The sequence below is a fragment of the Homo sapiens genome, chromosome 11, assembly GCF_000001405.40.
Source record: "Homo sapiens chromosome 11, GRCh38.p14 Primary Assembly".
NCBI classification, from domain to species: Eukaryota; Metazoa; Chordata; class Mammalia; order Primates; family Hominidae; genus Homo; species Homo sapiens.
Genome location: NC_000011.10, coordinates 93,395,203 through 93,407,396, shown reverse-complemented (window position 1 = coordinate 93,407,396; position 12,194 = coordinate 93,395,203). Strand labels below are relative to the sequence as shown.

Genomic DNA, 12,194 nt, shown 5'->3' with positions numbered 1-12,194 from the left:
CAGTGTGTCTACACAAACCTAGATGGTATAGCCTACTACACACGTAGGCTGTAAGGTAAAGCCTATTGTTTCTAGGCTACAAACTTGTATAAGTATTTGTGTATCTGAACATACCTAAACATAGAAATTTTTATTTAAATAATAAATTCATTTAACCATTCTTCTATTGTTGAATTCAGTTTTTTTTTCAAAATAATTAACACTGTGTTGATTTCCTTATACATAAATCTTGTTCTATATTTCTTTAGCTAGAGTCCAAGGAGTGGGATCACTGGGTTAAATTGTGTGAATGTTGTTGAAGACCTTGATTTAAAAATGTCCAGCCCCCTCCCCTATAAATCTTATACATTTCAATCTCATAAATACCCACCACTAATGTATTAAGGAGCCTGTGTTACTACACTCACAACCATTCAATATTACCATTTCGTTAAATTTGCCAACTTGATAGATAAAAATAGTAACTTTTATTTAGCTATTAGTGAAGTAGAATATATATGTTTCCTGGCAAATTTTACTCTATCTTTTGTCAATTGTCTATTTGTGTCCTTAACTTATTTTTTCATTAGGGTGTCTGTGTTATTTGTATCCTTAGCTTATTTTCTCATTAGGGTGTCTGTGTTTTTCTTACTAATTTGAAGGAATTTTTTTTACATTAGGTGTACTAATCCTAAGTTACTGTTTCTTAAGTTAGTTGAAAATATGTTTTCCATGTGATTTTAAGTTTTAATTTTAGTGTGTGATATATTTTATACACAAAGTTTTTTACAATTTTTATTTAATGAAATCTGTCAGTCTTTTTCCCTTGTGACTTCTTCCTTGCTTTTATATTTTTTCTTTTCATCCTAAAAGCTAATATTCACTTGTATTTTCTTCTATTTGTTTTATAATTTCATTATTTTACATTTAATTATTTAGTTATTTGGTATTAATTTTGTACAAAATGAGAAAAGACTTAAAGTTAGTAATTATTGTAATTGTTCTAATCACATATTGATGAAAATATCTATTCTCCACTGTTGGATGATTCAGCAAATTATATACTAAATTAATATAGATTGCGGTCTGATTCCAGATCATTCCATCTTACTGATCTTACAGTTGAGATTGTGCCAGTTCTACACAATTCTGAGCAATGTATCTTCCTTATGAAGTTTCACTACCTGGTAGGAGACACTCAATTTTAGTGTGTCCTCAGAATAGAATATGAAGCATGTCTAAATTACAAAATGAGAGGTTTAGAGTAAGAATAAAGATTAGCTGAGGCCATTTCAATTAAACATAAGAAGTTTCCTAGGGAGTATCTAAACTTTTCACAGAATTTTAAAAAATAGGATATATTCTCACAATAAAAACTCATGAAAAATGCTCTAAATGATTTTACACAGTTCTTTCTACTCCTCAGATTCGAATATACGTGAGTTGTGTAGCTGCTGTTTAAACAATAGTTCTATGTTTTCAAAACGGTAATATTTTAGCATACAAAAATAACCTGAGTAAAACATCTTTTTCGAAGCTCCAAATATCTATGGTTCAAAGTCTATAAAACAATGAATGATTACAGCTTAGAACTAAGTTCCTAAGCTTAAAGCTTTGAGTGCCTTTCATAAAGGCATCCCATAAAATCATCCTAAGTTTTGTAAAATTTTTGACTAATTGCACATTGAAAATTATTTACATACTGTCATATTAGTATCAATAGTAATAAATAAGTGCAGAAATACATACATATTAGGTATTAAAATGTTTACATATTTCATTTTTTGCTTCAAAGGCCAAATCTGCTTACTACATTTTCCGCTTACTACCTATTATGGAGGTTTAGTAAATATGTAGCAAAGTCTCATTTTTGAATGGAAGAAAATGCTTCAGGAGGGCAAACTTTTCCACAAATCAATACAGGGAAGGTTATATGCTTCTAAAGCTACTGACCAAGGTGCTCTTTGAAAAAGGAAGGCCATTGAAGGTATTTCTCTGCTTATTAAGCTCTGCCTTTAGGATTTCTCAACATTTATTCTTTTTGAGAGGCATAAATGCAGATAAAAGAGCAATCTGTAGTCTCTTGCTTTAGAAGATAAAGGAGTGCTTATTCTAAAATTAGAGTAGATTTGTGATAAAAATAAAGGAGGCAGGGTCTTATACATTTTTTCCCTCCATAAGGAAAAATAACCATATGGGCAGACCTGGTTGAAAAGGGTTGAGAATAAGACTCAAAATTTGACTCTTAATAAGATATCTACCAGTCAAAGTACAGAATTCTTGATGGTCGGCTGCTTAGTTAAAATTTTGTTTAAGCTTTTCCTATAAAATTAGATTTAATCTGTGATTTTTTTTATCCAATGTTGGTTTAAAGTAATTAAGAATGATAATAATGATTTTTAAAACCCTGCAATTTCCTAAATGTACCATAATTAAATAAGTGTTGTGAGCATGAACTAAAAGAATTACACAGGTAATGTATTTGCATGTTTTACATTTAAGAGTACATTTTCCTTTACAAAACCCTTTTTTGGGTCCCTCTCATTTAATTTAATATTTTTCTTAAATGCATTTCTAATGATTTCAGGAATATATCCACCCCCACCTCTTGTGTTTCTAATGGATTCTTTTTACCCATTTACTCAACTTTTGTTTTCTTTCAAAATTTTAGAGTTTGATAGTTTTAATCCATTTCTTTATTCTTGAAATGGCAAAACCTCCTGGTGCTCATTTACTTCAACAGATTAGGATGAGGCTGGCTTAATTACTGAAGTGTCTAAATAATATTTTGCATGTATGGTTTTTCTTCTTATGCATATTTAACAGTAACAATTATGCTAAAAAAGCATTTTGACAGAAAGACTGGCTTTAATGATGTTTTGTAGTTGGTATGTTAATTTTCAGTACGTAAATGGATGTTTTAATCATTGTAAGGGTACTAATTTTTTATGTTACTATTTTATTTAGAAAACTTTACGGATGGTGAAAAGCAAATTAGTCCTCTTAAAAATTACCACAGATTCTGAGTTCTAATTAAATCTGATTTTATTACAACTTTCTTAAATAAAAGAAAAATTAATAATACAATTGAAGGACTAAGTAAATATGGCATTAAAAAGCCTACGACGATAAGCTTGATTATTTGTTAGCTACCCAAGAGCAGAATAAGAGAAAACCCTTCACTTTTCTCCACTATTCTACGTCCCTCACTGACACCCAGGAAACCTTAGATACCAGGTAGTTAGTCCCATCAGTACATTCCCCAAATGGGAGCTGCATAACCCCATGCATTCCTAGAACTGGGTGGCTGCCTGTGGTAAACTTTCATTCTCTAAGTGGAAATGAGCAGGCAGCTTCATAGGTAGTCAAGCAGAAAGATTCTCAAAGCTATAATTGGTTAGAAATAACCAACCTGAAGATCAGTAATTTCCTTGTAGAAAGGAAAAAGTTATTATTTTAATATTTTCCAAACAGCACATATTTTAGAAGACAAAAATAATGATGTAAATATCTTGTTTCTGTTGCCTGACGTAAAATTTCAGCACCAATTATTTAATTTTATATTTATGCATTCCAATTATTTCAGAAAGAATTAACTAATTATGGATTTTTTCCTAATTATGAAATTTTAATATATAATAGATATGATAAAGTTTTCTTCATTTCAATAAATTTTCTTCATTGAGAAAGGATAACCAAATAAAACAGCAGAAAGAGAAAATTAACTGATGAAACTAAAAATAATAAAATTAAGAAAAATGTATGAAAAGAATAATAAATCCAAAAGCCAATATTTTTAAATGCTAATAAAATAAATCACTTGTGAGTCAGAGTTAAGACAAAAAATAGAGAGCATGCTAAACTATACAAGCTTAGAAATAAGAAAGGAATTATAAACAGAATATAGAAGAGATAAAAAGAACTGTAGGACATTACTACCTTTAGTAATAATAAAACAAGTTGAAACTGATTTCCTAGAAAAATACAAATTACTGAAATAACCTACAAAGTACTTCTAAGTAGTAGTAGTGAAACTTGGATATACCAAGTACTCTAAAAGAGAGTGGAAAAATAATTGAAGATTTACCAGGTCCAGTTTCACAGCTAAATTCTTTCTAACCTTTAAAGAACTGATACTTACAATATTACTTAAACTATTCTAAACAACTCATAAAGTTCTCAATTTATATTATAAATATAGTATAACCTTAAAACAAGTAGAAAAAGAACCATATACAAATCTCATTTATACACACAGATTTTAAATTCTTCTTTTATTGATCCACAATAGATGTATTTTCAGAGTACATAGGATAAATTAGTACATTTAAATAATTTGTAGAGATCAAATCAGTGTACTTGAGGTATCATCACCTTAAATATTTGTCTTTTCTTTATGCTAGAAACAAAATTATTCTCTTTTGGCTATTTTGAAATGTATAATAGATCATACATATATGTTACCTAGTGTTGAACAATAGGTAATATTTCCAAACACTATACTTGTACCCGTTAACCAACTTCTCTTCATTCTCCCTTCCTCCCTATCCTTCTTAGCCTCTGGTAACCACCAATTTACTTTCTATCTTCATAAGATCCACATTTTCAGCTCCCACATATGAGTGAGAACATGCAATATTTGTCTTTCTGTGCTTCGCTTATTTCACTTAACATAATGACCTCTAGCAGTTTCATCCATTTGCTACAACTGACAGGATTTTATTTTTTATTTTTTATTTTTTCTGGCTGAATAATATTCCATTGTGTATATATACCACATTTCTTAATCCATTCGTCCACTGATAAGCACTTAAGTTGATTCTACATTTTGACTATTGAAAATAATGCTGCAATAAACACAGGAGTGCAGGTATCTCTTTTATATATTGATTCCTTTCTTTTGGATATATACCCAGTAGTGGAATTGCTGGACCATATCATAGTTTTAGTTTTAGTTTTTTGAGGAAACTTTATACTGTTCTCCATAGGTGCTATACTAATTTACATTCCCACCAACAGTGTATGAGGGTTCCCCTTCGTCCAAATCCTTGCCAGCATCCATTATTACCTGTCTTTTTAAATAAAAGTCATTTTAACTGGAATGTGATGATATCTGATTGCGGTTTTGATTTGCGTTTCTCTGATGATTAGTGATACTGAATTTTTTTTCATATACCTGTTGGCCATCTGTATGTCTTCTTTTGAGAAATGTCTATTCAGATCTTTTGGCCATTATTAAATCAAATTATTTTTTTTTACTATTGAGTTTTTTGAGCTCCTTATATATTTTGGTTATTAATTCCTTGTCATATGGATAGTTTGCAAATATTTTCTTGCATTCTGTGGGTCATCTTTTCACTTTGTTGATTCTTTTCTTTGCTGTGCAGAAGCTTTTCAGCTTGATATGATCCCACTTACCTATTTTTCCTTTGATTGCCTGTATTTTTGAGAACTTACACAAAAAAATCTTTGCTCAGACTAAAGTCATGGAGTATTTCCCTAATGTCTTCTTTTAGTAGTTTCATAGTTTCCTGTCTTAGATTTAAGTCTTCAATCAATTTTTATTTGATTTTTGTTTGGTGAGAGATAGGAGTCTAGTTTTATTCTTCTACACGTAATTACCAGTTTTCCCAGCACCATTTATTGAAGAGGCTGTCCTTTCCCTATTGTATATTCTTGAAAATACATTATTTTCAATATATCTAATTTTAGTCATTCTAGTGGGTGTGAAGTGGTATCTCATTGTGGTTATCGAAGATTAATTGGCTGTAAATGCATTGGTTTATATCTGGGTTCTCTATTCTGTTCCATTGGTCTATGTGTCTGTTTTTATGCCAGTCCCATGTTGATTTGGTTACTATAGCTTTGTAGTATATTTTGAAGTCAGGTAGTATACTGTCTCCATCTTTGTTCTTTCTACTTAGGATTTCTTTGGCTATTCAGGGTCTTCTGTGTTTGCATATAAATTTTAGAATAGTTTTTTTTCTATTTCTTTGAAGAATGTCATTGGCATTTTGATAGGGATCACACTGAATCTGTAAATCGCTGTGAGTAGTATTGTCATTTTAATAATATTAACTCTTCCAATACATGAGAATGGAATATCTTTCCATTTTTTTATCCTCTTCAATTTCTTTCATCAGAGATATATAGTTTTCCTTGTATATATCTTTCACTTCTTTGGTTAAATTGATTCTTAGGTATTTCATATTCTCTGTAGTTATTGTAAATGAGATTGCTTTCTTGATTTCTTTTTCAGATTATTCACTATTGACATATAAAAATGCTACTTGTTTTGGTATGTTTTTATATCCTGAAACTTTACTGAATTTGTTTATCAGTTCTAACAGTTTTTTGGTGGAGTCTTTAGGGTTTTCTAAGCATAAGATCATATCGTCTGTGAACAGGGCTCATTTGACTTCTTCCTTTCCAATTTGGATGCCCTTTTGTGTCTTTCTCTCGCCTAATTGCTCTGGCCAGGACTTCGAGTATTATGTTGAATAAAAGTGGTGAAATGGGCATCCTTATTTTATTCCAGATCTTGGAGGAAAGGCTTTCAATTCTTCCCCATTTAGTATGATGTTAGCTGTAAGTTTGTCATATATAGCCTTTATCTGCATATTTGTTTTTGGTATTCTGTGGGGGGAATGAAGCCAGCTTGCTTTCATGCCACCATTTTGAAACTGGAAGTCTGCAGATCTTCATTTCTAAATAAAATATTATCATATAGAATCCAATAGTATATCAAAATTCCTAAAATATGGCTATTATAAGTTTAGCTGTGCCACTCCCAAAAAGACATGTTGAAATCCTAACCCTCGGTACCTCAGAATGTGACCTTATTTGAAAATAGGGTCTTTATAGTGTAAAAATGAGGTCACTAGGGTGGGCCCCAATCCAGTAGGACTAGCATCCTATAAAATGGGAAAATTTGGGCACAGAAACAGACACATAAGGAGAGAGGATGATGGGAAGAAGCACAGGAAGAAGACAGTGGTACAGGGAGAAATCCATATGAAGACAGAGGATTGGGCTGATGTATCTACAAGTCAAGGAATGCCAACAATTGTTGGCAAACCACCAGAATTCAGGAAGAGGCAATGAAACATTCTCTTCTACAGGTTTCAGAGAGAGCATAGCCCTGCTGACACCTTGAATTTGGACTTCAAGCCTCTAGAACTGTAAGACAATAAATTTCTGTTGTTTCAAGCCAGCCAGCTTTTGGTACTTTGTTACAGCAGCCCTATCAAACTGAGACTATGACTAAAAAGGTTTATTCCAAAAACTCAAAGGTGGATCAATATTGGGGAATCTGTTAACCATAGTCTATTACACATCAATAAATTAAAAAACAAAACCCACATAACATCATATTTCCTAAAAAGGCATTTGATAAAACCAGCAGCAATTCTTAATAACAACTCTAAGTAAAATAGAAAAAGATATAACTAAGACCATAAATTAAGAACAAATATATGAAACAGGAAAACTCTAAAACCACATCATTTAAAATCAAAAACTAGAAAACTTTCCAGCAAGCACTATAATTATTTAACATTTTCTTGGAGTTTTTAGCAAATGGTATATGATCAAAAAGAAAAAAAACCTACTATGAGCCATGGAAAAGAGATAAGACTATCTATTTTTGTTGATATGATTTTGTATCTCAGAAAAGCCTAAGAAACCTCTAGTAAAAAGCCTACTTAAATTAATAAGATAATTTGTATTTTTTCTATATTAACAATAAGTTCCAAGATATTGAAAAAAGGAAAATATTTTATTCATAACAGTACTAAAAATTGCAAAACACTTGGGAATAAATTTTGTTATTTATTTTATTTTTTATTTTTTTATTTTAACAGCAAACTCATCCTTAAAAAACACCTAGGAATACATTTTAAAAGAAAAGGACATAACCTGTACAAAGAAAATGGTAAGATCTTTTTGAAAAACATAAAATATGAAGAAATGGAAAGCCATTCTTGGATGGAAAAATTTACTATAATGAAAATGCCAAATCAAAGTTAATCTATAAACTTACTTCAATTCCAAATAGGATCCAACAGGAAATTACTAGGAGAAACTAAATAAACTGAGCTTAATGTTTACATAAAAATTTAAATTTGGTTTCCATTTTATATCCCACGCAAAATAAATGGATTAAAGACTTGGATGAAAGATATAATAATCTTTGAAAAAAAACTGAAGCTATATATATTTAGAAGAAATATATATATATATGTAACAAGAAGACCCTGTTAGTCAAGGAAGGAAACTCAGAAGCTATAAACAAAGAGATCAAGTAGAAGTTTAAAGCATTTTGCATGGCCAAAAAAAGTCATAAACAAAGTTACAAACAACAGATTTGGAAAAGCATTGTTAAAAATTGACATGAGGGTGGACGGGGTGGCTCACACCTGTAATCCCAGCACTTTGGGAGGCCAAGGCTGGTGGATCACTTGAGGTCAGGAGTTCAAGACCAACCTGGCCAACATGGCTAAACCCCATCTCTACTAAAAATATATAAAAATTAGCTGGACATGGTGGCATGTGCCTGTAATCCCAGCTGCTTGGGAGGCTGAGGCAGGAGAATTGCTTGAACCCGGGAGGTGGAGGCTGCAGTGAGCCAAGATCATGCCGCTGCACTCCAGCCTGGGTGACAGAGTGAGACTCCATCTCAAAAAAAAAAAAAAAAATTTGACATGAAAAAGACAAATAAGCCAAAAGAAAAATGGGCAAAGGATATATCTAATTGATATTGGTACACATTGTCAATGAATATACAAAAATATGTTCACCTGGTACTCAGGGAAATGCAAATTAAAGAGCTATTGAGAAATTACTTTATAACCATCAGAATGACAAAAATTAAAAAGACCTATAACACCTATGCCTACAAGAATGAAATTTTAAAAGGTACTCATACAAAGATGGTAGACATATGATTTAACAATAGCTATTAAAATTAAAACACACATATCCTTTGAATTAGCAATTTTACTCCTAGGAAGCTATTCCAAGGTGTAAGTATAAGGATTTTTCTTACAGTACTGTTCATTCGGGCAAAACTCTGGAAACAGAGTGGAATAAATTATCCTTGAAATAAGTATAAAAATAGTTTAATAAATTTTGATACACACCATGGAATATTATCAAGCTATTATAAAAATAAAATAGGCTTAAATTAGTTACCTTGGAAAGATTCCAAGGGATACTGTTGAGTGAACAAAAACAGGACACAGAGAAGTACGTGTTATGATTCAACTTTAAAAAGATGATAAAATCCCCAAATAGGTACTATATGACTATATGTATATATATCTGAAAAAGTTTAAAATAATACATACCAAGTAGTTAACATGTATCATCTAGAGGAGGGGGTATAATGCGGGTAGATGAGTGGAGGAAAGAGGGAGGAGTAAAGCAAGCAGCAACAACAAAGTGACTGCACTAAAATTGCCCTTATGTAAGTTATGATTAAATTTATAAAAAATTATGTATATCTTATATGCTCATATATTTTTTCTAAGAAATTAGGAAAAATAAAGGGATGTTCATCTACTGATTTGTAGAGGTGTTCATGGACTGTCAAAAGGCAGTTTTGGAATAATGTATATATTATACATTTATTTCTGTAAAAGAACATTCAACCCATCTCCTCCTTATGTGTGCATATGCAAGCAAAAAGTTACAGAATGCTACAACAAACACTAATTCGTTAGCACTGGATAGCTTTGGATTGGGATAGGGTTGTGGATCATTAGCTTCTTTATACATCTCTGTGTCTGCTATTTCTTAAAAACACAAAAAGGTGAACAAAGTCAAACACCTAAAGGAGCCAGAATTAGGCAGGCTCAGTGGGGGCTGTGACGACCCAGAATATACACTTAAAAACATTCAAATTGAAATGTAAAAAAAATACAAATACCATTTTGTGAGTGAAAAAAGCACTCACGGAGGCAGGATCTGATTTAACTTTTTGTGTGTTCAGCATTTAGAAATAAAAATGTCATAGATGACACACAGTTTTTTTAATGTAACAAATAGGAAAATCACTTATGCCTTACTTTTTATCCATCTGTACTCCAATCACAGGATCCATTAACCATGCCCAAAGAAGAAGACAGAATGCTTCCAGAATGTTTGCACTCTTTTGATGCTAGAATATGGACCATTATGAGAACAAGTATATAATATCACAGAAATATAGTATCATAGCTTAAGGAGGGCCAATGGAGAATGTCTAATTCAACTCCCTCATTTTATAGCTAAGGAAACTGAGGCCTAATTAAGTAATTAACATATTCATCTCTTATCATTTCCATTCCTCATATGGTAGAAAATTATTTTAGAATTTTCTCAGAGCAAATAAATGATAAACAAGTTAACAATGATATTTCATTCATTCAATAAATAAAAATTCTCATATAAAATCAATTTTCTATTGTTACATTAAACAATTGAAAGGGGATGCACAGAGCCTGTTTAAGTTCCTTTGTGTAAACCTATAGAGCCATTGGTTAAAACCAGTAGTCCTTATCCTGAATAATTCATTTATTTCTCCCTCTTTTAAATCAACCAACACTCATTGAACACTTACTTTATGCCTGAGATGTGAGGTACTGGTGAAACAAACACCAATAAGACATGGTTCTCTGCTTGCCATCCACTGGGAAAGTGACAAGCAACAAAACAAGTCAGAACAAAATACGAACTAAATGTGGCATTCATTCTGACTGGGGTTTCAGGGGTGGCTTCGTTGAGGGGAAGATTGGCACTTGAATCAGGCCACATAGGATGTAGGATTTCAAAGGCAACAGCAAGAAGAAAAGCAAGGAAATAGCATGCTTGGCATATTTGAGGGAAATGATCAGAATTGAGCCCAATCCAACCAAAGAACAAGGGAGAAAACCAGACATTCCAATGTTCTAGCCTGAGGATAAAAGTAACCTCAACTGAAGCACAAGATAATTTACCACCCAACTCCTTCATGTCTAACACACAGCAAGTGCTCAATAAATGATGTCTAGGTTAATCGTGACCAATTCAGTAATCTCTTTGTTCAATTTATTGAATGATGTCAGCATATTACCATGTATTCTCCGGGGTCTAAATCTCCCATCATTCCTTTTAGATGTGTGTTTTCAGTTCTGACAGCTTTATATTTCATATCTGAGACCTGAAATTAGCAGATAAAAGGCAAATGTAAAATTCATAATAAAAACTCATAATTCTATTAAAATTTTGTCTTGTGAATACAAATATTTTCTAAGTGTAATGAAGGGAAACACTTCTTCGGTACGACCAATAACATTCAGGTATTCTTATTTAGTTCTCCTGTCTTTGGCAGGCACCACTTTACGTCTTTTTCTGATCAATGCTAAACTACAAGCATATACTTTCAATAATGATTCATTTAGTTTTGTCCTACAATCCCAAAATTCCATTTCTGGTTTCTATTTTCTATTGTATGCAAATTGTCACCAGAAAAAGCACATGTTAAAAGCATGTTTGAGTAACTGTCCATTAAATTTATTCAACACCTGATTAATTTTTACAATAGGCAATACATAACTTTCATGTTTAATTTTGTTCTGATATTTCTGCCAAAATTCCATCTTTTTTAGTGACTACTTCATTTTGTCTCTCAATTTATTTTATCTTTCCCTGATTTATTCTACTTGACAGGACTTGGATATGGTATCTGTCCTTTTACTTCTCTAGGACTCATTTCTGTATAAAACACGTGCCTTAAAAAGATTTAATTTTGTAAATTACCAATTTATGCTCATTGACAAAACCTAGAAAACGTACAAAAATATAAAGGTGAAAATAAAAATTATTCATAATCCAACTAGCCAGATCACTGTTAACACCTGTAAAATATCCCTGCCTATACAGGTACAACCAAAGAGATTATCCCATCTGTGCTGTTTTCCTGTGTACTGCAACAATAAATCACGGTTTAAGGCTTACAACTGGGCAAAGGCTAAATCTTTTCTGTTTTCATAATTCACGATTTTAGTCATGTTATTTGTGAAGTGACCCTCATATGCCTAGAAAATTATTAAATGATGCTCTCAAAACCTTTAGATTTGGGGTAAAAAAGCAGATAAACCCTGTGCTCTCAATAGTAGGCCATCCATTTGATCATGAGTAAGGGATGGAGGGAATTTAAAAAATAAATAGGCAGGAAGGAAAGGAAGGATGTAGAA

At 31.7% G+C, this 12,194-nt stretch overlaps 1 protein-coding gene across 16 annotated transcripts in view, besides 1 other annotated feature; it reads right to left on the bottom strand.

Moving 5' to 3' along the window:
* Positions 1–12,194, bottom strand: part of DEUP1 (deuterosome assembly protein 1) — a 108,473-nt gene that overhangs the window by 31,074 nt on the left and 65,205 nt on the right. For 7 of the 16 annotated variants that reach the window (XR_007062456.1, XR_007062457.1, XM_011542631.3 and 4 more), the window contains 2 exons: positions 11,072–11,158; positions 10,580–10,648 (listed from right to left, as the gene is read on the bottom strand). Coding sequence is in view for 13 of the 16 variants with exons in the window: in XM_011542631.3 (XP_011540933.1) it covers positions 10,580–10,648; positions 11,072–11,158 (156 nt within the window). In the remaining 3 variants the exon portion in view is untranslated. Of the gene's footprint in view, positions 1–10,046; positions 10,139–10,579; positions 10,649–11,071; positions 11,159–12,194 lie in introns of all 16 variants that reach the window. The other 9 variants (XM_047426455.1, XM_005273802.2, NM_181645.4 and 6 more) reach the window with 3 other exon arrangements.
* Positions 8,229–8,730: an enhancer, noted in NCBI's record as "NANOG hESC enhancer chr11:93131833-93132334 (GRCh37/hg19 assembly coordinates)". NCBI's record gives its function as "activates a minimal SCP1, AML or CMV promoter by ChIP-STARR-seq in naive H9 embryonic stem cells {active_cell/tissue: H9 hESC(naive)}" and the evidence as "EXISTENCE:reporter gene assay evidence [ECO:0000049][PMID:30033119]".